The 27,947-nt window shown below is 38.3% G+C and overlaps 1 protein-coding gene across 50 annotated transcripts in view; it reads right to left on the bottom strand.

Annotated features, from left to right (window-relative positions):
• PPFIBP1 (PPFIB scaffold protein 1) overlaps window positions 1–27,947 on the bottom strand; it is a 171,359-nt gene that overhangs the window by 23,601 nt on the left and 119,811 nt on the right. For 8 of the 50 annotated variants that reach the window (XM_017020056.3, XM_024449232.2, XM_017020059.3 and 5 more), the window contains 11 exons: window positions 25,816–25,902; window positions 24,122–24,235; window positions 21,823–21,954; window positions 17,150–17,242; window positions 16,729–16,821; window positions 15,234–15,348; window positions 13,116–13,148; window positions 11,019–11,080; window positions 7,518–7,602; window positions 4,644–4,798; window positions 418–533 (listed from right to left, as the gene is read on the bottom strand). In XM_017020056.3, the coding sequence (XP_016875545.1) occupies window positions 418–533; window positions 4,644–4,798; window positions 7,518–7,602; window positions 11,019–11,080; window positions 13,116–13,148; window positions 15,234–15,348; window positions 16,729–16,821; window positions 17,150–17,242; window positions 21,823–21,954; window positions 24,122–24,235; window positions 25,816–25,902 (1,085 nt within the window). Of the gene's footprint in view, window positions 1–417; window positions 534–4,643; window positions 4,799–7,517; window positions 7,603–11,018; window positions 11,081–13,115; window positions 13,149–15,233; window positions 15,349–16,728; window positions 16,822–17,149; window positions 17,243–21,822; window positions 21,955–24,121; window positions 24,236–25,815; window positions 25,903–27,947 lie in introns of those variants that run through there. The other 42 variants (XM_047429754.1, XM_047429760.1, XM_047429764.1 and 39 more) reach the window with 8 other exon arrangements.

Here is a 27,947-nt window from a genome sequence, read left to right as displayed (position 1 = left end):
AGTAGCTGGGATTACAGGCGTGTGCCACCATACTCAGCTAATTTTTGTATTTTCAGTAAAGACGGGATTTCGCCATGTTGGCCAGGCTGGTCTCAAACTCCTGGCCTCAAGTGATCTGCCCACCTTGGCCTTCCAAAGTGCTGAGATTACAGGCGTGAGCCACCACACTTGGCCAAGTTCCTTAAAATCTCTTTCTAACCTGACAACCCTACCTCCCCAGCCTGATCTCTTATTATTTCCTGCTTCACACCTTTTATTTCCATAATACAGAACTGATTACAGATCCCCCAGTGGACATCTTGCAGTTTCTTGCTTCTCTAGGTAAAAATTGTGTCTGTAAATAAATGCAATACATCCTTGTCTTTGGCTGATCTACTTTTTTGAACATTTATATTGCACTGTTAATAAATGACATACTTTTCTTCAAATGAAGTCTCTGGCTTAGGAGTCAACTTTGATTTTTCAGAAGTTTCCATGCTTACAGTTGCTGGCAATAATGAAGGGATGGAAACTTGCAAGATGGTAGTATGGAACTGTAATGTAATTACAAAAAATCAATCAATCAATCAAAACAAAACACAAGCCACAGAGTAATTTAAATAAACATAAGAAAATTAAACGGTCTATTGACAAAATCTCATAATCAGTGTTCAGAACTGTATAAAATGATTTCAGAATATAAACATCTATATAGAAGGAGTACTAATCAAGGAAATCATTCTGGAGGAAGGAAACTTTTTAACTTGGTTCTGAATAAGACACTGAATATTGTGAATAAGACGGTATACCATTAAGTAAGTTAATAGTAATTTTTTTTTCTTTTTTTTGAGACGGCGTCTTGCTATGTTGCCCAGAATGGTCTTGAACTCCTCGGCTCAAGCAGTCTCCTGCCGTAGCCTCCTGAGTAGCTAAGGTTATAGACGTGTGCCACTGTACCCAGCTAGTAATAATAAATCCTAACAACCTTAAGCCCTGGATGAAATGTTGGTTCTGACACACTTGCCTAAGTGATCGGTGATCTTAGCAAATAACTTCGCTAGGCATCCATCAGTTTCACCCTCTGTAAAATAAGAATGACAATGCCTACCCCTGCAGGTTGCAATGATTTATTGTAAGATTTGGGTAACACGTTTTGCTTTCAACACTCTATTATTATTATTATTATTATTTTTTTTTTTTTTTTTTGAGACAGGGTCTCACTTTGTCATCCACACTAAAGTACAGTGCTGCGATCATGGCTCACTGCAGCCTTGAACTTCTGGGCTAAAGTGATCCTCCCAACTTAGCCCTATCAAGTAGTTGGGACTACAGGCGTGCGCCACCACAGCTGGCTAATGTTTAAAATTTTTTTGTAGAAACACGGTTTCCCTATGTTGCCCAGGCTAATCTGGAACTCTGTGCTCGAGCAGTCCTCCTGCCTCAGCCTCCCAAAGTGGGATTACAGGCATGAGCCACTGTGCCCAGCGAAAAGCTCCATTTTTACTTTAATTTCTACTACTAATCTTATATGGAACATTGGTCAAGCCAGTTAATTATTATTCTATGTGTGTACTAGTTGACTAATTTCAATTAACATAATTGATGAAAAGTGTAATTAAAACCAATTACAATGGACTTTGTGGCTACCACTTAAAACACTTTGCTTAATGATAATAATAATATTACAGCAACATATAAAATGCATAATACATTTTCTCAAACAAATGCTTTGTGCATCCTAAGGAAGGAGTCTGTGAAATAATTTTAATACTTCAGTTTTCAATAATTTTTTACAACTGTAGAGCAGTTAGATTGCAGGCCACATCATAAATGAATAAATGAAAAATATTTCAGTAAAAAAAAAAATGAACAAAGTTTGCCACAATGAACTCCTGCCAGTCAACCAGTGACAGTTCTTCACCTCTGAAAGCTGCCTGATAAAGACTCACACCAGTGAACACCCTTCTACACGCCAACCAGTCAGCAACAGTCTCACCTTAGTAACCACACATCTACAGTGGATGTCGACTCTCACTTGCCTCAGAAAGTCCACCAACCCTTGAGCTCCAACCATCTCAAAAACCCTACATATGATCAGCTAGAAGAGAATGTACTGGACCGGGAACACTCACTTACTTAAGTAAGCAATACATTCAGCTTTGTGATTTTTGTTTATGTTATTCAGTGGTGGTCTCATCCTTTAACACAATAAAAGGTTATAAAATGTGAAGTCGAATTATTATAAAGTAGCAGATTATTTAACTATCAATCTTTTCAGTTTGAATCTTTATGATGAATCCTGGGCAACTTATTTAGCCATCATCACTGTTTCCTGAAGTTCATTTGTCTCTTGAGATTCCTAATCATGGGGAAAATATAACTATACTAACAGATCAATTTTCTTGATCTTTTTCAAACTTTAAGACTTTAACTCCAAACTCAGATCTCCCTCCTGGCTTTTCTTTAAAAATGTCGCTGAACTCCCTCAACCCTCATCAAACCATTCTTGTTACAAACTTAAAACTACAATTCACATAGCAAAGACTTTTTCTAAAAGGATATGGGATTATTTGGATATACCCTACATGTAACACTAGTTCTGTAACTGCAGCACACTCGTTGACTGTCAAATATTATTTTTGCTTTCGATATAAATATATATCTAACAATTAGGGGATATTTTCCACCAAAGTATTTCTTATTCCTTAACTAATTCCTTGATTAATGAAATATTTCAGCCCTCTCCTACATTTAAGTGAGAAATTTTCAATGTTTTCTTCTTGAATTCATTTTCATTGCATTCAAATTTCATCTTCTTGTTGTGTAATTATCAGCAACAGATATAAAAGTAAAAATGCCACTTGGTTTCTTCTCACTACCTATAGTAAAATGTGAGAAGAGAAATGACCAAAAAAGGAACTGCTAAAATAAGGAAGCCAAGATTGTTTAAACAATGAAACTATTTCCCATTCCCGGTCTTTCTAGACAAAAAAAAATTACACTAAAATTAAGAAATGGTTTCAGGGCAAAGATCAAGCACAAGGGCTATCAGGAAAACATGGTCTTCAGGTGAGCCAAGGATGTGGCTGTAAAACCCTTTGCTAAGACCTCAGGATGGACTAGACTAGAATCAAATAAAAATAGAAAAAAAAATACCTTAGGAAGATTACAGTAGTGCGGTCTCATTGAACCTCTGAAAAATGATGAAAGGCTCTAAAAATAATGGGATGTCCCACTGCAGCCTTACAGGGAAACTTAGCTAGAGATAGGCTTATGGTGAAGATAGCTGTGGATGTGTTCTTCTGTAATGCAGTGAATTATAACATGATTCGTATGAAATTCTAAATGTTTAAAGTATTACACTAAATTAGACTCAAAGGAACAGAGATAATGGAAAATGAAGAGATGAATTTGGATATCTTTGGGCACTTCTGCAGGCACAAAACTGAGAAAACTACTCATCTGCAAATATAGGCAAAGGAAGCATGACTTAGAGGGAAGAGCCAATAGCCCAGAGGATTGGCAACATGTGCCTGGCTGGATTTTGGAATTGCTATGGACTGGTGACACCTGTGAGCCTTCCAGCTCCCCCTTTTTAATGGGAGTGGCTACTGCAGTTACATTATGCCTATCCAACCATCGTATGGGTGTGTGGAGGGCAGATAACTGTCCTTGAAATCCACAGCTCTTTAATTCAATGAAAGAGTCCTCAAGAAGCTATGCGCAAGGAACTGTACCTGAGGAGCTTCACCCACATCTCGACCTGGTCTGGGTGACAAGATCCTGGGATGCTGACGCCTCACTGGAATGGGACTTAGGGGTCTTCGGAAAGGGGGCGAGTGTATTTTGCATGGGAGAGGGATGTAAAGCGGTGTAGCCAGAGGGTAGATTATATTTTCCAAATATGGTTGCACCAATATTTCCCATCCCACGTGTCCTAACAATGTAATGTTGTCAGTTGTTCATCAAGAGGTAGGGTCTATGTTTCCTCTCCTTGTATCTGGGTGGGCTGCAGGCCTGTGGCTACAGCAGAAGAGATGCCATGTGATTTCTGAGATAAATCATAACAGGCGATGCAAAGTTGCCCGGGCCTCTTGGAATGCTCACCCTTAGGATTGTGAGGAAGCCAAGCGGTCACATGTAGTTGTTCTAAATGGGGCCTCAGCTGAGGTCCCAGCCAAAGGCCAGCCTCAACCACCAGACATATGAGTGAGTTAGCCTTCAGATGACTCAGGCCCAGGCCTTCACGCCACTCCAGCTGATGCCAAGTAGAGCAGAGACGAGATGCTCATGCTGAACCCTGCTAAAGTGCAGAGTCATCAGCAAAAGAAATGCTGTCATTGAAGCCACAAAGTTTCGGTGTGGTGTACAATAGACAGCAAACAGATTTTCCTGCCAGTTTGATGCAAAGTAAGGAGTGTATAACTGTTTACTCCTCTCCAGTTGCTTCTTCCAAGTCTAAAGAAGTCAGAAGAAAATTTTATTCAATTATCTTTCAGAGTCACCATCAGAAGTGGCCAAAGTCAATTTATTTATATAACCTCACTTGAGTTGGTGATGGAACTGAGAAAGGAACCCATGTTTTTCATGTTATGAGCAGTGTTTTAACTTTTCAGTAACACAGTCTCTTCAACATAAAGGAAATACTGAAAGTCTATTAATACCTCTTCGGGAACACTTGTGTTAAATGGGTCACAACTGGGAGATCCCATTACTGGAGTGGGTGATGGACTTTTCTCCAGATCACTGAAACCCTGTGCATCCAGCAAAGAGGAGATGGAACTGGAATTGAGCAGCTCTTCATATTCTCCATCTTTGCCTAGGAAAAGATAAAACAAAGAGAAGACAACAGCAGCTTTTGATTTATATTTCACTTTTACAAGAAGATAAGAATCCCAATTATAACGAATATAAAATTTTTTCTGATCCTCAAAAATCAGAGTCAGCTTCTCCTGGCAGCCCTTGAAAAACAACATAGGACCTAGGAAACAGCATTTGAAACTAAGGCCAAGGGCTCTTGGGCCACAATGGCTACCTGTGATATTAACAGACAAAGTCATACTCGATACATTGACTCATCAGATTGAAAGAAAATTAAAAGTTAACTTTTTCCAACAACTCTCTTGTAACTTTGTTTTAAAATCAGGGGCTTACAAATTTTAGTGTAGAAATATTCAAACTGAAGAATACCTGGTACAAAAAACGAATTGTGAATAGCAACAAAGTCCCATTTAAACAACTTAGTTTTCATCACTGCTGTGCTCTTGAAAAAACATAGGAGAACAGAAAAAACAAAAAGACAGATGATCTTTGATCTCTCAAGAGGATCCTTTTATCCCATTTTAAAGCAAAAAACGTCTGATGGAAAAAACCAACCACATATTCACCAAAGCTGCAAACTTGAGAATTTTTTTTTACATCTCTAGAAATCAAAAGGGATTAAATGGTGAACAGCGCAGTGCCAGATATTCTTTTTTAAAAACAGAAAAAAATGATACTTAACACGCTAATCTACAAATAATATGACATGGTAAATCATACACTTGTTTAAAGATCTTAATCAGACCACAGCTTCTTAATTTAGGTTTCACTAGAATGTTATTCTAATTCTATTAGAATTTAGTGTTATTAGAATTGTATGAGGATTAACTAAATATAACTCCTAGTGAGAAATCACTGTTTATACAACTCTTTATTGGAACAGAACATAGTTTTCAAGGGTTTAAGAAAATCTGTGCTGCTGTACATTGTTAAAAACTACCTCTTGTATTTACACGTTTGTATGCACAGGAAAAAAAGCTAGAAATAAACAATACACAAAAATGCCAATAGTGATCATGCCAGTGCAATTACGAGTGATTTTTATCTCTTTTCTTTATTTTCCAAATGTTTTACGATATAGTCTAATTACAGGAATTAATTTTTTCTGCCTTGGTTTTAAACGTAAGAATTGGACAGTTGAAATTCTATAAAATCAAACAACATTTTAAATGCCAGGCATATGTAAAAATTAATCACTTACAAATTTGCAATATTCCATAGGATAGAGACTCTTCTTCTGAAGGCATGGAAAATGCTGAGTGATGAGAATTGCTAGTCAACACTGATTATTAGAGGTTCATTTGCTCACTCAGATATTTATAAAATCGATTATGCCAGACCTTGTGTACAAAATTTTTTTTTTCAAAAATCCTGATCCAAAGCAGGATTTTCCTTCTCTGTGAACTCATCAAAATTAAAACTTCAAAATCTGAGTGTTTCATGGGGACCTTCCAAAAGAATTGTTTATATCCAGTGCTTACGTTGCGAGCAAATAACTCTATTTATGCATTGCTAAAAAACAAGAGCACTTTCAAATTTCCTCCACATTTGAGGATGGCCAATTGGCCCATCTGCAGATAAAATAATAATAAACACAACAAAATGCACAACTCTCTTTATGTACCTGTCTTACAGGGTTTTTCTGAACTCACCATGTTCAAAGCTGAACTCAATCCCCCTTACCCAGCCCAATGTTCCTTCTCTAGGCTTCCCCATATCAGTCAATGGAACCATCATCTACCCAGTTGCTTTAGTTGGAAACGTCTTTCTTGATTTCCTCCCCCTTCTTCACTCTCCTCCTCTATCTCATTACACCACTGTGTCAATCCAACCATAACATATTCCCAATCAGCAACTACTAGATTTTTTCACTTGGAATACTGCAAATCTCTGAATTGGTTTCTGCGGCTCTCAATACTGCTCACTTCCCTCCATGGCCCACGTGTTACAAAGGTCATGCTGCTGACTTTTTTTTTGAGACTGAGTCTCACTCTGCCGCCTAGGCTGGAGTGCAATGGCGCAATCTCGGCTCCCTGCAACCTCCGCTTCCCGGGTTCAGGCGATTCTCCTGCCTCAGCCTCCTGAGTAGCTGGGACTACAGGTGCCTGCCCCCATGCCCAGCTAATTTTTTTGTATTTAGTAGAGACGTGGTATCACCATGTTGGTCAGGCTGGTCTCTAACTCCTGACCTTGGGTGATCCACCCACCTTGGCCTCCCAAAGTGCTGGGATTACAGCCGTAGGCCACCACGCCTGACCACTGCTGACTTTTAAAACCCTTCAGTGAGTCCCTCTGCACTTGAGCAAGAGCTTAACTCCACCCCTTGCGCTACCAGAGGTTGCTCATCATTATGGTCTCATCTCATCCCCTCTCCCCACTGCCCACCACCTTGCAGTTGCACTGGTGTTCTTCTTCTTAAGCATGCCATATTCTTTTCCCCCTAGGCTCTCTGCATATACTGTCGTTTTTCTCTCTCTGGAATGCTATCTCATCAACTCCTTAGAGAGGCACTCCCCGACCAATGACTCTACAGTACACTCACTCCTCAGGCTGGACACTTTCTGGCAGAGTACAGTTGCCTAATTGTTCAATTAACGAATTAGCTACCTAATTTGGGACAATGGGTATGATCCAGGAAAGAAATTGAGGCCAAATGTGTAAGTTTATAGCCACTTAGAGTCAACCAAAGTAGAAAAACTTTTAGAGCTACACTCTACCTTTTTTACCTTGGGCCAGTACCACCGTGTCTTGCATTTTCTTGTACCTGTTCAGGCACTGTCGAAGATCTTCTATTTTCCGATCCTAGGAATAAAATAAATTGTAATCTTTAATCCTATGTTCTTAAAAGAGTAATAGTAATTCCATAAAGAATTGCATAAAGAATAGTAATTACATAAAGAATACGCATGATTCTGCCGAGAGAGCATTTAAAAAAAAGAATAAGCAGATGTGAATTATTTACCTTATTTAAAGAATACTTCTAAGCTTTAGGAGAACTGGTAATAACTAGACTATGTTTCCTACATACATTAAACATATGGGCAAAGTACCTCTAAATTTAGAGATCCTATCCTTTAGCTGCCATCTTTAAACAAACAAAAACAAAACAAGGTAATAAGACACAAAACAAAAAAAGAAAAAAGTCAGCTTCAATAACTCTCCTCTCTAAGTCAAACCTTAAAAGAAAGACCCCCATCTTCTGTCTTTATTAGCCATCATTAATCACCATCTGGCTTCTCCCCTCTTAAAACACTCTACCAAGGTGACCTCCTATCTATTAAAAACAATGAACACTTTTCATCCTTTTTCTCTTTTTTTTTTTTTGAGACAGGGTCTCGCTCTGTCACCCAGGCTGCAGTGTAGTGGTACAATCTTGGCTCACTGCAGCCTCAACCTCCTGGGCTCAAGTCATCCTCCCACTTCAGCCTCCTGAGTTGCTGGGAGTACACGCATGCACCACTATGCCCAGCTCATTTTTGTATTTTTGTAGAGATGGGGTTTCACCATGTCACCCAGGCTGGTCTTGAAATCCTGGGCTCAAGTAATCTGTCCACCTTGGCCTCCTGAAGTGCTGGGATTACAGGCGTGAGCCACCATGCCCGGCCCCAACCTTTTTCTAATTTGACCTCCATATGGCACTTGACTGACCCCACTCTTTCCTTCTCCTTTCACTTATCCATCCACTCTTTCTTTTCTTCGATTTTTATTTCTCAATCCTTTGACCAGATAGCTGTTGAACTTCCATAACCCCCATTATCTTCTTGGACTATAAAATGCTAGAGCTTCCAGGTTCTGTCCATGACCCTCTTTGCTTTTCCCATGTGCTCAACTGTGTTATGAAAATGGCCTCCCTAGCGCCTCCCATTCTCATTCTGGGCCTGGCCATGTGGCTGGCTTTGGCCAAAGAGATATCAGCAAATGTTATTCAAGCAAAGGCTTGAATAACATTTGCCCTTTGTGGCTGCCCTGTGGTGTGGCTCTAAGGAACCCTGAGGAACTACGTGAAGAAGTCCAGCCTAGTCTACTGGAGGATGGGAGACCATCTGGAGAAGAGGCTAGTCCTCCCAGCTGGGGCCAACCTAAACTAGGCTGTCAATCACTGGACATGTGAGTGACACTATCCTAAATTATGCATGCAGTCTCATCTAAGCCACCAGCTGACTGTAGACATCAGCTAAGCCAGCCGAGATCAGAAGAATCACCTAGCCAACTCACAGAAGTATGAGAAATAATAAATGTGGCCTGTCACAAAGCAAAAGCTAACTGACACATCAACTGTGGCTTAGTCCCCACCAATCTACAACTCTGCATTTCTCCTAAAATTGATGGGTCTCACTCCCCACTAATCTATAGTTCTACATTAATCTTAAAATTTAGATTTATGTTCCAACTTTCTGTAAGAAATCTCCTTTAGAATGTCCCATAAGCATATTGAATAGACTATATCTACAATTAAGCTCATTCTTTCCCTTCAGTACTTGAGTCTGTGCTTGGATTTCCTTAACTCCTTAAGAGAACCATCCATTCATCCATTCACCCAATTGCCCAAACCAGAAATTTTCTCTCGTTTTTCAAATCCAGAGATCTTAAATCTTGTCAACCCGTAAATTTCTCTAAAAGCTCTTCCCACCTTATCACTTCACTGCTATTGCCTTACTTCAAGCCCTCTTCATTTCTCACCTATTTTAACTGACTCTTAACTGTTTGTCTGTCTTCACTCTCCCATTCTGCTACCAGAGTTAGCTTTCTAAAATGGCAATGTAATCATGTCACTGCCTAAGGTTTACAAGCTAAGACCCTAAATCAAGACCATGGTGTATGAAGTAGCCTGCCCACTGACTTAGCTCTGTGGTCAGCCCCACGCCCCGACTCCACCTGCACTTCATGTTCCAGCACAATCCCAGCATGCACTGCGCTGTTTCAAACCTGGTCTCGAGACAAGTTTTGATTCATGGACCCTTTGCCTAAGAAGCCTTTATTTTCCTGATGAACAACTCTTGCTCTTCCCCAGAATTTGCTCAAATTATGTCCTCTTTGAAGTCTTCTGAATCCCCGACCCCACGAGGAAGTTATGTTATGCTGGGTGCCCCTCTAACAGTTTGAGCATCTCATAAGCCCTCATTCAACACTGGGAATTTTGTTTGCTGTGGCTTTTTGAGGGACAGAAATGAAAACAAAATGAATTTCAGTGATTTAAAAAAAAATAAAAGTTACAGTGGGCAGCTTGCTAATTACTTTTTTTTTATTCAATAGTGGGAAACATTAGCAAAAAGGAACCTATATGAGTAGACATGACAATCAGTTTACTTCCAGGCAATAAAGAGCAAATAAAGAGAATGCGAGGCAAAAATAAACAAGGAGATAAGAAAAACAGAAGAGTCAAGAATGAGAGAAAGAAACTTACGATGGGAGAAAAAGATCAAGCTAAAGTTCTTTGACTTTTTGTTGTTTTTTACTTCCTTGAAATGACTCTTCTTTTTGGGAAAATGTCCCCTGGTTCTATTCATTCAGGCAGATAAGGGGAGAGAAGTTCTGATGACATCAGCTGAACACAGCTGCGGCTGCCTGCTAGATACGTGGTCAGGTAAGCCACGAAGAAACCCATTACTTTCGTGCAGTAACTGCATCCCTGCCCTTAGCAGGACGAAACATCACATGTGGATAACAAGAACCAACTGGGGGGGGAGGAAACCTGTGGAAACCTTGGAATGCAGCCAGTGTAGCTAACGTAAAGCCCATGCCGCTGTTTTCTGGTATTTAATCTCTCGGGAGAGCAGAGACAATCACAGATGTGAAACAGGCCAGGAGTGTAAAGGAAATAATGAGTAAATGGAGGACAAAACCAACATGACCATGAAGCTGAGGCTGTCAAGCTAGCTCCTTCAGGGCCCAAAAGTTAGCCCAGAATTTTCAGTGCCCACATACAGGAGGTACTATGGAATGTATCCTCTCTCTTACATGTCACGTGAATATGCGGAACTGATCAGAGAGTTTGAACATTTTCTGAATTCGTGGGGGCAGGAGTTCTCAGTGGAGCCAGTGCAGCTCCTCCCTATTCCTGTGCATACAGCCCACCTGGGAGTGTGCACACCTGCCCCTCACTCCTAGCAGTGTTCTGGGCATGTTCTTTTAAAATGGCATAGCTCATGAAATTGCATGGAATGGTCAAAATGGTGTTAAAAAACATCCACACGTATATTTAAATTTCATCTGGATACCTTTTCTTCATTTGCTGCCATCAAGGACTCCACAGCTTTTTTCATTTTTTGTACTTCGATGTCTGAAAATAACATCAAATCAGAAGTCAGTTCAGTTCACATGTGTGACAGTGATAAGAAGTTATTTACTCTCCAGACTGAAATATTTTAAGGTAAAGATGTTAATGATTTCTTTCATTTATTCTTTAAAAAGGGCACATTTAACACCCATATTCTCTTTTGGAAAAATCTGAAAAGATGGACATCTTCTACCTCACCTGAACAGTTGCCACTCTAGAAAGAAAACAAGGGTGTGTGAGAACTAGCTATCCTCTCTTAAAGCAACAAGAGAATCTTCATGAGAACACTGAAGATGAAATTTCAGTGCTATAGTAATAAAAACATAACGTTTCTAAAACAGGAATCTATAAAGCAGTGCGTGAAAGCCATGAATGGTATATATAATGACAAAAGCAGAGAAAATGATAGTTATAACCAAGATAGAGGCATGAATGAACGGTAAGTGCCTGATGGCTTGTAGTATTTACATGAGTAGTCATGCTAAGAAGCTGGTTGTAGTTCCATACGTAAGGATAATAAGTACTTTGCTTCATCTATAAACTTCATTTCCAATACTACCTTAAGATAGATTTCAAGACATAAAGGCCAAAGTAAGCTGAATGTGATTCTCCTTAAAATTTGATATTCAAATACAAAAGCATGTTACTTGAATAATAAAAAACTTATATATTTTAAAGATGAAAAGTCACTCCAGGGCCTGGTGTGGTGGCTCATGCCTGTAATCCCAGCACTTTGGGAGGCCAAGGTGGGAGGACTGCTTGAGCTCAGGAGTTTGAGACCAGCCTGGGCAACATAGCAAGACCCTGTCTCAAATAAATAAATAAATGAAAAGTCACTCCAAAATGAAATCACAAACTAAAAAATTCAAACAGGAAAAAAAAAATCAGCTAAAGTTGCCTGCTTCTGAGAAAAAAAAAATTACTGAAGATAATACTTTTTTTTAGAGACAGCATCTTCCTCTGTCATTCAGATGGAGTGCATGGCACAATCACAGCTTACTGTAGCTCTGAACTCCTGGGCTCCAGTGATCCTCTCACCTCAACCTCTTGAGGAGTTGGGATTACAGGAGTGAGCCACCACATCCAGTCTTCTTAAGATAAGTTATAAAACAGTGGTGCATCATTCAGCATTGGTGTAACATTTTCAATTAAGATATATTCTATAGGAATTGAGAATTTAACATCTGGGGGAAAGAGCCCCTAAGGAGTTAATTTTTTTTTTTTTTAAGAGATGGGGTGTCAGTGTTGCCCAGGCCGTGGTACAATGGCAAGATCATAGCTCACTGCAGCCTCAAACTCTACAATGGCAAGATCATAGCTCACTGCAGCCTCAAACTCCTAGATGCCTGGGGCTCAAGTGATCCTTCCACCTCAGCCTCCTGAGTAGCTGGGACTACAGGCATGCACCACCATGCTCAGCTAATTTTAAATTTTTTTTTGTAGAGACAGGATCTCACTATGTTGCCCAGGCTGGTCTTGAACCCCTGGCCTCAAAAGTGATCCTCCCACCATGCCTGGCAGGATTTACCTTAATGTTGCATTAAATATTCAGGCTCCATGAATCAGCTGGATTCAATCTCTGTTGTAACAACAGAATATGTTCAAAGGAGCTTCTAATAGATCCCAGACAAATAGTGGACTTCAAAACATTGAAAAGCAAAAGCAAATTTCAAAATTATCTTTCAACTCTGGTAAACCTTTAAAATCGTGAGTTTTCGTACTATAAAAGTTATTTTCTCCTCTGACCCTGAATCACCTAGACTGCAGGGAAAATGTTTTCTTACATCCACAATGCTGTGTGCCCGGTTATACACTGTAGAGCGGAAAGGTTGAATCAGACAAAATCTTCAAAATAATCTTTTACCTTATTGTTTTATTATCCACCCTCTATTGTGTACACTCTGAAGAAATGGAGGGCTTATTGATGAAGCAACTTTACATCTTTGGTGAGAGAAATGTTTTAAAACACATGCAAAGAACAGTCCAAGGTAGTATTTTTGGTGAATGTAAAGGCTGATGGAAATGCACCAAACCTTACTTTTTTCTTTGAGCTTCTTTTTAAAATTTTCATCTGTGCAGGAAAACCCATTGGATTGGAAGTTAGCATACATTACAACAATAAGTAATATTTTTAAATCACTACTATTTAGTCTCTTTTTACCTAAAATAACGGAAATCTAACCTCATAAAAACTTTTTCAGCACTATTTTGTGACTGCAGGATTGGTAGTACAATAATGCTCTATGTGAGGTTAGAAAGAGAACAGAAGACCTAAATTTGAGTTACTACCTCTGTCACTTCATTTTTCTGGACCTTGATTTTCTCACATTAAAATTAGGTTTATGGACTACAAGCACTTCTTATACCATAAATGATGAAAACCTAGTTAGTGTCACTTTGTTTTTATATTTCCATCACGGTTTGATACCTGGTCCTCCTGAATGTGACTAGAACACTGCTTGTGTCACATGCAACTCACCACTCAAGTTCAACAACACTGAAAGGGTCTATCTCCTGTCCAGTAAGATGAGTCCAGTGAGGATGCAGTTAGATGCTATCCCAATATCACCCTGACATGAGCTTTCTAAAGACTTGTTCTCAATCCCCGTAGTTAGCTGGTGGGCACTGGTAACACGCAGTTCCCAGGTTGGTTCGAGTCCTCAGATCAGACTTTGGGGAGCATACTCTAATATCTTCTAGCCCACAAGTCCTGTGATGCCATTTTATTCTTTTTTTTTTTTTTTTTTTCAGAGACAGGATCTTGCTCCATTGCCCAGGCTGAAGTGCAGTGACACAGTCATAGCTCACTACAGCCTCGAACTCCTGGGCCTTAAGTGATCCTCCCTCCTCAGCCTCCCAAGTAGGTGGGATTACAGGAGTGAGCCACCATGCCTGGTGAAATTTGAAATTTAAAAATTTCAAATCTTAAAAAGAAATTTTTTGTAGAGACAGGGTCTCATTGTGTTGCCCAGGCTGGTCTTGAACTCCTGGCCTCAAGCGATCCTCCTTCCTCAGCCTTCCAAAGTACTGGAATTACAGGTGTGAGCCACTGAAACCAGCCCATTTTATTCTTAAAACCCTGAAAGCATGATCAGTATGACCTGTTTCTGAATGTCCCTTATCAATACACAATTATATATATGCCAAACAGTAGGTGATGGGGTGGGGCGGTGAAGCGGTTGGTGGTGAGAATCCATTTTCCTCAGGCTTGATGAATTTTCTGACGGACAGGGAATTGTGATACCTGCAGGGGTATAAGGCCATGGTATTCTAGAGCCAAGAAGGACTTTAGAGATAATCTAACTCAAGTCCCTCATTGGACAGACAATGTTACTAATGTTCATAAAATGGATAAAAATGTAACAAAGCTACGCTAACTGGAATTTGTACTGTTTTGAATGACTCAGAAATTGCTTTGGTATCTCATAGGGCCACAGTCATCATTCGTAATAACAAAGAAAGGTTAAATTTAACCTAGTGTTGTCAGATATTATGCACATTATATTTCCAAATATAATTTTAAAAATGTATTTCATTCGGGCTATTTTCTATCATGCACAATCTGCTTTGTTAGAAATTATGGTCCATATAATACTCAGAACAAACCTCTGCTGTTATGAAAAAAGTTTGGACAAATTCATGCATTTTTTCCAAAAACAGAATTAGCCTATTTTTCTAAAAGGTGGAGGGCTCAATCCCTGGTATAAATTTTTTACTAATTTTTCCAAAGATACAGAACCATTTTTCTCTTCTCTCAAAAGGGCAGAACAGTTTCTAAGTCCCTTACTTTATCTAATTTCAGTTCTGAGGGCAACGATCCCGGGACACAGGGATGGTTCTTTTTAACTCCTTTGGCACAAATTCCCTTGCATCGCAATTGAGACAAGTCCATCCTTGTGATGAGAATTTACAGTCTAGCAATCTTAAACACCAAATAAAGTACAGAATTCCCCTTTTCCAGCTGCTGAAGAGGAAATTAATGGATTCCCAGTCACAGTAAAGAGTCTTGGAGAATCCCCTGTGGTTCTGGTCCTGGCTGGATTCTGCTGCTCTTTCTTTGATGCTAAAACTACACATTGATTTTCATTGGTTTCCTTTACAGATTTTGGAGGACTTTAACAAAATGAGATGATAAATGTGAAATATATCTTCTTACCTCTATCAACAATTTCAACCCCTTCTCCTTTCATCTTGCAAACCAATTTTTCTTGTAGCCTTTTTACTTCAGATTCCTTTTCTTCTAGTTGTTCTTTTAAAGATGCCAGTTCATCCTACAAGTTACAAATTCATTTAAAAATAGCAGATCATGACTGAAAAGGAACATTCAGAGAGCATATTAGCTCTTTAAATCAATAATCAGGTTTTATGAATGAAACAAATCTACTAGAATTTAGATGCAAGCATCAGAAATCAGACAAGGGCAATGAAAAGCAAAAAGCAAGACTATTAGTAGAAGTCCTGTTTATAATAGTTATGGTATAATTATTTCAAGTTTCTTTGTAATCAAATTAAAAAGAGATCTTTTAAAGAGTAATTAGGGATGGGATAGCCCTAAGGTTTAAATCTTTACATTAAATTAAAAATATAACCAAGTTAATCAAGGAAGATAATCAAATTAGATACTTAGTGTCATAAAAGCAAAATAAAATGCAAATTGGAAAAGACTAGCTTGACATTTATTCAGCATTTCAAGTTGGCACTCATGCTTCCTTGACAAGCACAGAGTTTCATTCATGGGTAAGGTAGCAAGTCATGAACAATTTTAGCCAAATCAGGGAACTAAATAATTCACCCTCATCACTAAGACAAAAGGACAGAATCTCCTACAACAATGGGAAAAAATAAATTTCGAAAACAGATAGTGGAGCCCTCTTTTAATTTTTAACTATACAACTGTGTATAAGATTTCAAGTCCATCCTTCTATGTACTCATGTTTAAATTTTCAGTTTCCTTTCAGTAAAGAATTAGTTTTAGCAAACAAATTTTGCTGGCTGTACTTAACACAGAAAATACAGCTATGCAATGCTAAGAAGTACAGCTTTATATTCAACATCACATTTTGCTTTCAGAATCTCTAAAGATATATTTATTACATTTAGTACTATGAGAAGATGTAGTTCTCCAATGAAGTGAGGCACTTGGCCCTATAGTTTTGACTTCTGGTAGGAGCAGAGTGGACAAGTACAAAAAGTCTTCAGTAGCACTGGCAGGAAGTGTGAACCTGTTCTCACCGTGCTGCTTCTCAGCAGTCATTTCTATTCACAGCCATGATAATATCAACTGCTGTACATTTACCATCAAGAAAGTCCCTAAAGAGGAAAATGACCTCTACTGTGGATACGAAACAGAATTCTTTCACAAGCGAATGTTTACAATTATTTTACTAGGCTTGGGTCTCAGATAGTCTAAGAGATTAATTTATAAATTCTTTCTTTTTACCTGTTTATTATTTTTCACCAATTATTTCATGTATTTCTGAAAACAACATCAGGGATCCCATTGTCCCTTCAATCAGCTTGAGGTGATTTGTAATCAACAGGTGACACACACACAGAATGAATGCACATGCCACTAAAAACATCATCACAGCAAAACAACACAAGCCAGAAAGCAACAGGCCATGGACCCCATCACCCAACGTCTACTACACCTTCAGTGACTCCCATTTTTGTTCCATCCGCTGCTTTTCATACTGCATCTGACCCACCTTGATTTTCATGCTAGAAAGTTTGGCCATTAAAGACTGGTAGAGAGACAGAGGAGTGAAAGAAAACTACAGATAGAAAAAGACAAGCTAAATAACCGAGAAAACAGTATCAGTTTATAAAGGAGGTTAGATACAACTCAGAGAAAGGGCAGGTTATGTTCTGTCGGATGAGTTAAGCCTTGTTTTTAAATTCAGATCAGTGGTGCTTAAATTCAAGGTTTCCAGCTTGGGGGGAAATCTTCATTTACTTTTAAAATACCTTCTTTATCATACATTAAGTAGAAAACATCTTATTTATATTATTGGGCATAGATGAATAGTGATGCCATTTGTTTGAAAATGTTAACCTGTGAGAAAAACTTACTTTGGTTGATTTAAGCTTTTTTTCATACTGAAGTCTCTCACTGTCCATTTCACTAACTTTTAACCTCAAATCATTGATCTCCTGAATCAGCCCCTGTCCAAGAAGAAACAAGAAAGTACATTAGGAAAGTGGTAACACAGTTACCTATACCTATAAAATAGCAGCTTGGAAATCTTAAGAAGTCACCAGCTCCTAGGGTTAAAGTTGTATGAATCAGATGAGACAAATGGAAATAAATGTACCTCCTTAAGAACGAAGGCATCTTTCCATTTAAAACATTCCTTTAAATCCCCAATGCGTCTGCCCTAAAGTGATGGGCTTATGAAAATAAAAGGTGAGTATAATTTTGATTAAGAAAGGTAGTGTAATATCTATTATTTGTCAGATATTTCTATCCTAAAAATGACTCTATGCTATTTCACAGAGTGCTATTTCTATTCTATTTCATAGAATGCTATTTCATATTTTAAATATACCACATTCTTTAGTAAAGCCATTTACCTTTTGAACCTTCTCAATGATACATGGCTATTTTAAAAAATTTGTAATTTCTTCCTTTGTCCACAAAAATATGGATTGCTCGTCAACCCAATATGGGAGAATGAAATGAAAATTAAATCCTTTAAGCCATGAATCCTTAAGATTCCTGAAACAGCCAGGGAAATGTTTTATTTTTATTAAGTGAATAACAGGAACATGAGAATAGTCAAATCAGTTTTAATTTTGAGGACTATTTTAATTATCGTCATATATAACATCACAAAGTTTCTCAACTATTCTCTATTCTCTGGGTATGTGCATACATTTTAGCAATAGTGTTGAATTTTTATTAGGAGATTATCAGGGATTGAGTTTACTGTAAGTTTAATGACAATTTTCAACTGGAAAGTGGATGAGGGCCCTGCAGTTCACCTAATTTTATCATTAGAAAATGAAAGAGAAACCAATCCTAGTGTTTATATGACACAACACAATTCTGCACCTTTTCTACTGCCACTTTATTTTAGTGCTACTTTTTAAAGGACCAATTTGCTCACAAAACTTGTCCAAGAGCCCAGAGAGTAGGAAAGGAAATTAGAGTGTTAAGCAATATTAACTCCTCCAAAAGAGACACTCAAATACCCTGCATGGGAGATGACTTATTTTACTACAAGCCACAAAGATCCCTACAATGGTTACTATATTTTTGCTTCTCTCTCCCTCTCCTTTTTTTTTTTTTTTTTTTTTTAAGATGGAGTCTCACTCTGTCACCCAGGCTGGAGTGCAGTGCCGCCATCTCAGCTCACCGCGACCTTCGCCTCCAGGGTTCAAGTGATTCTCTTGCATCAGCCTCCCCAGTAGATGGGATTACAGGCACCCACCACCATGCCCAGATAATTTTTGTATTTTTAGTAGAGACGGGGGTTTTACCATGTTGACCTGGCTGGTCTTGAACTCCTGACCTCAAGTGACCCGCCCTCCTCGGACTCCCTAAGTGTTGGGATTACAGATGTGAGCCACTGTGCCCGGCCAGCTTCTCTCTTTTTACAAAGACATGCATGTATTCCTGCATCACAAATTCATAGACTACAGGACAAAATTATCCACGAATGCCAAAAATTACAAGTAGAACAATGCTATATGAAATAAAACTTTGTAAATAGAAATTATTTTAAGCTTCCAAGTGTAATGATTCAAGTTCACAAAGGCTAAGAGAAGGGATGCTACAATAAAATAACACTTCCCAGTAAACCCTTAGGCTTTTAAATTGTGGTCTCTTATAAAATGGGGCAAAATATTACCTATCATAGTTATACAATTACACCTTAATAATGGCACAATATTTCACTTAGATGATATCTATTTTCTTCTTATGAATTAGGTCATGAACTGTTTGACATTATTCAGCAACATATTTGTGATTCCTCAACTAACAGGTCAGAATTCAAGTCTAAAGAAAAAAATCAGCTTTTCCCAGTTATCTAAGCTAATCATCCTTGCATAATATGAGTCCTTAGTGATATTCATCAATATGATCTTTCTAAATATATATTTTCCTACTTTCTCATTGCTAAGAAATACCATTGAATTCTTATCTGCTATTGTATTTTACAGCTTCCTTTCTTCTTTGCTCGTGCAAAGAAGAAACCACTGAAAAAAATGGAATTGTAAACTGGGATAATTTATCTGTTTTAACAAAAAACTACTCAACTATATTTCATGGCAATACTTTAAATATGGTCTAAATTTCCAACCTGAAATAAATCACATCTTCCCCTGACAACACAAGCTGGAAAATCTGGAAATGGCTCCCTAATGTAAAACTTTAAAAAACAGAATACAAACTATTTCAATCAATTTCTTATCAGAAGTTCAGTCCTTTTAAAAAAGAAAATTCCTGTTCCCTTTCTCTTTTCCCTTTCAGAGAATTCAGGGCTCCTGCAGGAACTCAGTCTCTGACATGTATGCTCTTACCACAAGGGGGCACTGTTGAATGATGCTAATCATCTCCCATTAGCAATTCCAGGGACAAGTCCTGAATCTTCCAAAGTTTAAAGACTTGTACCCTCAGTCCTTTGGAAATGCCTATACTTCTTCCCCATGCCAATATTTTCTTGGAAATTAATATCCAAATATAAATCTAAAATTCTAAGAGAAAGTTAAATATTATGGATTCATGAAACACCCAGAAAAATATTTTTATTAAGGGGACGATAACAAGAACATGAGAATATTCAAGTTAGTTTAATGTTGAAGATTATTTTAATTATTTTCATATGTAACATCACAAAGTTTACCACATATGCTCTAATCTCCGGGTCTGTGCATACGTTTTAGAAATAACACTGAATTTTTATTAGATTATCAGGGATTGAGTGTACAGGAAGTTTGATGACAAGATCACTTTGTATGTGATTGAGAGTGCATGAGTGAAACAATGAAAAAGTGGGGAAAAGAGATTTGATTAAAAAAAGCAGCCAAACTCAAGGGATATAAATATTACCCTAGGCGCTTACAACAATAAGTAACACATCTACTGCAATTTAGCCCCAACATTTGGTTAACATCTCATATACAAATTAAGTTAACAACAGGTGAATATTTCCCCTTGACTTTGTGGACGCAATGTAGAAGACCACCTCTATCCATATCTACCATCAATTCTTCCCTGCAGCAGAGCTAGCTCCACTGCCATGTTGCCCATCTGTTGACTGAGTTTTACTATTACTTTACCCTGCGACTATGGGGTTAGGACCTGACAAAAAGAGGGGAAAGAGGAAAATATCAAAGAGATTTTTAGAGAAAATACAAAACCAAGAATTTTAAATTGGGTAACTTTCTAAGTCCTGTTTTAAGAGCCCCAGCTTCTATCAAATGAGAAACATGCTCACACAGGCAACTGACAAAGAGTTTTAAAATTAAAACATGGCTGGGCATGGTGACTCATGCCTGTAACCTCAGTGCTTTTGGGAGGCCAAAATGGGAGAATTGCTTGAGGCCAGGAGTTCCATACTAGCCTGGGCAACACAGTAAGATCCTATCTCTTAAAAAAAAAAAAAAAGATTAAAACATGAACCAAATGAAAGACTTCCTTTTGCTATGGAGGAAGCAAGACATATACCAAGACTTTCCACTGTAATTGAATCTTTGACAGAAAATTTAATTTTGAAAATAGCAGTGGAGTAAAACTTGTTATTTCCAATATAAAGAACTTTCCTATGGTGGATAATGTATGTAATGCCTGGTATCATGCTGGCTTATAGTCAGCGTGAAATACATGATTGAAATAAAAACAGAAGGGAAAAATAAGTAAACCATTTTCTCTCCTCTCTCCTTGGTACCCATTTTCTAATCCAGCATGACACCCTTCCATACTCCAACCAAGGAAACAAAATAGGAAGCAAAAAGGAGGGGAGATGGCTCTCAGAGAAAAGAAATTTCTGCAACTCTTTATACTTCATTTCAAATGTATGTTTCAAATGGATATGCTCTCTGTCTCCATCAAAAACCAACAGAGAGGTTAAGAACTTGCCAAATGTCACAAAGCAAACAAACTAGGAGGCCTGAATTAACAAAATAGAACAAACAATAAAGCTTGTTAAGCCACTAAAATGGATACTTCAAGTTACAGAATGTACCCTGATTTTTGTAGAAGTACAGTGAGTCTTATTTAATTGGAATGATTTACATGTGGAACAGACCAAAAGTAGAATGCCAAATTAAAAGACCTCAAAAAAGCTCTGTCTGTGATTTTGTGAGTATAGAATGTTAGCATGTTTTCTATACAGATTTTCAAAATCCAATTACATAGTAAATAATCAGTGTGCCTAAATAATAACTACTAGTGAAACCATGTATTTAAGCCCATTATTTACAAAATTAAGAAAAACAGTATGGATGGACGGATGCTCCAAATATCGTAAAGTCAAAAGTATTTCTAAAGGTTAATAAAAAGATTAATACTTCATATCAAAAGTCTAAAAATAAAAATTGCCATTAGCATCTAGTGATAAAAAGTCAATGCAATGAAAGATTATTCTTAAAATGAAGTAGGATGATGGTACGTAGTAATTAACTGCCTTCCTTGCACACCTCCAGGGAATTTCAACTTTGCCCTAGGAATGTATGTGTGTCAGAGACAAAGACAGAGTGACAGAGAGAGAGAGAGAGGGAGGAGAGACTGTATCACTCACCTCTGTGTCTCTGAACTTATCTTCATAATCCAATCTGTCCTTCTCTACAGCTGTCAGTTTCAACTTCAAGTTAGATATTTCAGCCATCAGATCCAACTTCTGAGTTTCTAAGGATGTCCTACTTAGAAGCTCCTATTATAATTTAACAGATACATTCAAGAAGTCTTTTATTATAAACAGGCACGTGAATTTACCTCATTTATGATCGCACAAAGCAGCACCTATCAAGTAGAGGATATAGTGAAGTATAATTACTGAATCTACACACTTTTAAAAAATTATTCACTTGAGGCTGGGCACAGTGGCTCATGCCTGTAATCCCAGCACTTTGGGAGGCCGAGGCAGGCAGATCGCTTGAGGTCAGGAATTTGAGAACCAGCCTGGACAGTATGGTGAAACCCTGTCTCTACTAAAAATACAAAAATTTGCCGGGCATAGTGGCGGGTGCCTGTAACCCCAGCTACTTGAGAGGCTGAGGCAGGAGAATTACTTGAACCCAGGAGGCGGAGGTTACAGGGAGCGGAGATCGCACCATTGCACTCCAGCCTGGGCAACAGACAGAGATTCCATCTCAAAAATAAAATAAAATAAAATAAAAAAGAACTATTCACTTTAGTTACCCTCCTTTGAACAGAAATAAGCACATGTCAGTTTACTGAGGGAGACATATGTTGTGTAGATACACATGCATAAACCATATATATACTTCAGTCTGATGATAACATTGATGATGGTGATACTATGTTTGCTATGTGCCAGGCACCGGTTGTAACAAATACTATTTCAATCCTCACAAAAAACTTATCAGGTAGAAATTCTTATTATCCTTAATCAAAAGATGAGGAAACATAGTAACAGAGAGGTTAGGAACTGGCCTAATGTCATACAGGGAAAAAGAAAAAATAAAAACACAGCAGGAATGGAAACCTACGAGGTTTTGCTCAAGTGCATACTCCATCCATGACCTTACAGAGCCTCTCCTATATGTTAGATATTTTCTTTTCTACTTGTGTGGCTACATAGTAGGAATATACATTTATGGGGTATATGTTTTGATACAGGCATGCAATGTGTAATAATCACATCATGGAAAACGGGGTCTCCATCTTCTCAAGCATTTATCCTTTGTGTTACAAACTATCCAGTTATATTCTTATTTCCAAATGTATAATTAAATTATTATTGGCTATAGTCACCCTGACGTGCTACTAAATACTAGGCCTTATTCATGGAAACTATTATTTTGTACCCCTTCGCCATCCTCCACCTCTCCCTTCATCCCCACTACCCTACCCAGCCTATGGTAACCACCCCTCTACTCTCTATCTCCATGGGTTCAATTGTTTCATTTTTAGATCCCACAAATAAGTAAGAACGTGAGATGTTTGTTTTTCTGGGCTTGGCTTATTTCACACATAATGACCTTCAGTTCCATTCATGTTGTTGCAAATGACTGAATCTCATGCTTTTTTATAGTTGAATAGTACTCCATTGTGTATAAGTACCACATTTTCTTTATCCAGTCATTTGTTGATGGACATTTAAGTTGCTTCCAAATCTTGGTGGCTGTGAACAGAGCTGCAGCAAACTCGGGAGCACAGATATTTCTTCGATATACTGATTTCCTTTCCTTTGGGTATATATCCAGCAGTGGCATTGCTGGATCATATGGTAGCTCTATTTTCAGTTTTTTGAGGAACCTCCAAACTGTTCTCCATAGCAGTTGTATGAATTTACATTCCCACCAACAGTGTACAAGGGTTCCCTTTTCTTCACATCTTTGCCAGCATTTCTTATTGCCTGTCTTTTGGATAAAAGCCATTTTAGCTGGGGTGAGATAGTATCTCATTACAGTTTTGATTTGCATTTCTCTGATGAGCAATGATGTTGAGCACCTTTTCATATGTCTGTTTGCCATTTGTATGTCTTCTTTTGAGAAATGTCTATTCAAATATTTTACCCATTTTTAAACTGGATTATTAGATTTTTTACTATTATATTTTTTCTTAATTATAAAACACATGCTATGGGTGAGAGGAAACCATCTGAATGCAAAAAAAGAAAATTAAAATAAGCCACAATCCTATTGACATTTTGTTCCAGATTCTAATTACATAAACACTTTATATTGTGTGCATGTGTTTTGAGACTCTACTACTCTCAATTTTTTTTTTTTAATGTGCTGGTCTAAATGAATCAAGAAACTTACTGCTGCATCAGAGCAAACACAACATAGAAATGCAGCATCTCACATAGTTCAGCAGGGAAATCCCATCTTGGTTCTGGCCTCTGCACATACCTGCTGCAGCATTTCTTCTGTGGCATTCACCTTCTCTCTGTGCTCTTCAAGACAAAACTCCAAATCTCGAATCTTCTCTCCCTGAGCCTCCACCTGGTCTGTTAACACACTTACCTGTATTTAGAGCAAAATAATGCAATGAGTGAAAAAGAATTTGGGTCCCACTGCATACGTTATTTCTCTAAATGGAACAAAAAAAGGAATGATCCTACCATTCATACGGTTATAAAGAAAAAAAAATCTGAGAAGTACCAAGAAGACAGTGGTCCCTCACATTCCTATTTATATGTTGCTATTTGATTTAAGGAGGCCTATACAATTTGGAGAAAATTCGTGTAGATTAGGAATGTACAATACTTTTTGGTTAAAGCTACTTCAACCATTTATGAAAGACAGCATGTACAGAAGTTATCTTTTTAGGGGGCAGCGTGGAGATAGTATAAGAGAGGAAACAAAGTTAATGTTTGAAATAGAAATTATCAAAAATTTGATACTTCAAGGAGAATAAGAAAAAGAACCTGGCCAGGGGTAGGGGGGAGAGGTAGCATGCACGGTGGCTCACGCCTGTAATCCCAGCACTTTGGGAGGCTGAGGCGGGCAGATCACTTGAAGTCAGGAGTTCAAGACCAGCCTGGCCAACACGGTGAAACCCCATCTCTACTAAAAATACAAAATTAGCTGGCTGTGGGGGCATGTGCCTGTAATCCCAGTTACTCAGGAGGCTGAGGCAGGAGAATCGCTTGGATCCGGGAGGTGGAGGTTGCAGTGAGCCAAGATTGTGCCACTGCACTCCCGTCTCGGCAACAGAGCGAGACTCCGTCCAAAACAAAAACAAAAACAAAACCCAGGGAATTCAAATTCCATGAGCTCTTTGAAGATGACACAGATCATAGATGTGTTCAAAGTCAGGGGGGGCAACTCAATATACCCAAAGGTGCCTGAGGAGCTGTTGGGCTAGTCCTTCAACTCTAGTGCTTACAGCAGATCTTTGAGTTTTTCCTCAATAATCATCACTCAGTAAATATACTTCAATTCATTTTGCTCAATATACCAAAGAAAAATGTTTGTGAAGCATTTAAAACATTATGAAGAAGCAAACTCAAATTTAGCCCACAAGGAGGGTTCTAGTCACTGTTTTGTTTTGTCTCACACAGGGTAACATTTTTAAAATTGAAAAATTAAATATATATATTCTGATTTCAGATTCAGAAATATAAACTTACATATATTCAGATGTTATGCTATATTCATATATCTGAATTTCTGCTATATATTAAAATATACTTAAAAATCAGATCCAGTGAAGCATGGTGCTGCACACCTGTAATCCCAGCTACTTGGGAGGCTGAGGTAGGAGGGTTGCTTGAGCCTAGGAGTTCAAGACTAGCCTGGGCAATGTAACAAGACCCCGCCTCCAAAAAAAAAAAAAAAAAAGAACAGATCAGACAACATTGTGCCCGTATTCAGACTGGTCCTGCAAGAGCTGAGGATGATTAATGGTAGCTCCTTTTAAACTGGGTGTAAACACCATCATTCTGCCCCAATCCTCACCACTCCCTATTGTGTACAGATGGCTTATCAGGCTTATTTCTATTAGCAGTCTGATTGCTGCAAGCAATCTGAATTTGCCACCCCAATTTAAAAGGCTTTGTAAGTATGCTGCAAGGAAAGAACAGTATTTAAAAATCACTTGCCTGAAGAACGAGGGATTCTTTATCATTTTCTAAACGTGCCAGCCTTTCTTGATACACATCTCCGTTCCCTGGTAGGTGTCCATTTGTCTGAAAAAGGAAGTAATATGGGTAAGGCTGATCTTCTCTAAGAATGATATATCGTAGATAAATGAAAATCACAAGTGTTCTTAGTCCAAGGGGCCTGAATTGAATCTGCACAGCTGTCACTGTCAAACAGAAAATACGAGAATGCAATTTGGTTCATTTACCACAAAAGAGGTAAGACAGGCATGTTAAGCATATAGGCATGTTTTGCCAAAGTAAACAATTTCTTATCAAGCAGAAAATAATGACCCACAAGGAACAGTGGATACTGGTATTCTTCACTGAGAGCAGACACACACCCAGGGGCAGGCAAAGCTTTGTGAGTATGTAGGGGGCACCCCGAGTTGTTGAGGTCTGTCTCTCTTCCTCCAAAAGCTTAAACACTCAGGCCACAGTGACTTCCCCTGGTAGCGCAGACTAGCCTCACTTATCTCCATTTTAACACTTTTTGTCCTGATCTTATTAACTTGTGAGTTTGCTTCTTTGTATAACGTTACCTTCTATTCCAGGGCAGAGCCTATAATTCGTTTGGTAACCTCCCCAGCATCTGGCTCAGTGCTCTGTGTATATTGATGCTTACTATTTCTTCCCCTCCCTCCTGCCCCCCACACTTTTTTAAAAAAAAATCATGTTTCAGTATATTTATGCGTGGTATAAATGCCAAAGGAAGTATAGATTGAGAAACGATGTATAGATTGTTTCTTCCTCAGCTGCCTCACATGCAAGTCATGAAAAAGACACACAAAGAGGCTCACAAAGAACAGAAAACCTAAAAGCACCACTTTGAAACGTACGTAGTAGCATAAGTGGTGTCTCTCATAATCTCAACATAACCATAAGATAATGTAATCCCAATAGAATTTCCTGATTCTTCATTCAAATACAATAGAAATAAAAGCCAGCTGAAATCCGAAAGTGTTAGATGGGGCCACCCAGGGTTCAACTGAAAAAGAAAATAATACCTTCAGATTTAGAACCAGAAAAAATACAAACTGTATAACTTTACTGCCCAGGACACATCTGATGTGACATCTACTGTTTTTCCAGAATTAACTGATACCATTGTTCTATCTTTCCAATAAATGCAGTTTCTAGTATCAATTCTTGGAATAATAAAAGTCATGTGCTGGGAAGGGGGAAGAAAAAAAACAGGGCTTGAATGAAAAGGAAAATTTCAGAATGTTTTTTCTAAAAACTTTAGCATACTGAATACATTTTCCAAAAGGCCACTAAGAATCAGAGGCTAATTTAGTAAGGGTGCAATGCATATTTAGAGTGGATTAAAATTTTAAAATCAGCTGCTTTGCCACATACCTCTACAATTACCACGGCATAATTCTGCTCATATTGTTAACTGAAGTGCCCAGCATTAAATTACAAGTATTATGAAGAGTGTGATGGAGTGGCCTGGACAACTTCCATTCCTGGGGACTAACATAAAAATAAATTGTGCACAACTTCTCAAGGGCAGTTTTTTGGAAAAGAGCCAGGATGAATAACGCATGTTCTCAATCTTAAGAAAGTGCCAAGACAGGCCCTGTAGAGCTTTAAATTCCTTATTTTGATTATGGACATTAACAGCCATCTGTTTTTAAAATCCCATACAAGTAACAATAGTTTGGAAACAGATACATTTCAGTAAGTAGAAAAAAACTGCTGTTTAGTGAGGACAAAAAGTAAAACTGGCCAAGGGTGGTGGTGCATACCTGTAATTCCAGCACTTCGGGAGGCTGAGAATTGTGTGAGCCCAGAAGTTTGAGGCCAGCATAGGCAACATGGCAAGACCCTATCTCTTAAAAAAAAAAAAAAAAAAAAAAAAACTTAGCCAAGCTTGGTGGTGTGCGCCTGTGGTCCTAGTTACTCTGGAGACTGAGGGAGGGGGATCACTTGAGCCCAGGAGGTGGAGGCTACAGTCAGCCATGTTTGCGCCACTGCACTCCAGGCTGGGCAACAAAGCAAGACTCTGTCTTAAGAAAACAAACAAACAAACTGATCTTTCTTCTGGTTGGAGGAAATTATAGCAAGATGAGAGCAATGTTTCCTCCCAA

This window comes from Homo sapiens, chromosome 12 (assembly GCF_000001405.40).
Source record: "Homo sapiens chromosome 12, GRCh38.p14 Primary Assembly".
NCBI lineage: Eukaryota > Metazoa > Chordata > Mammalia > Primates > Hominidae > Homo > Homo sapiens.
Note: the sequence above shows the minus strand (reverse complement) of the source record. Positions and strands in the feature narration are given on the sequence as shown.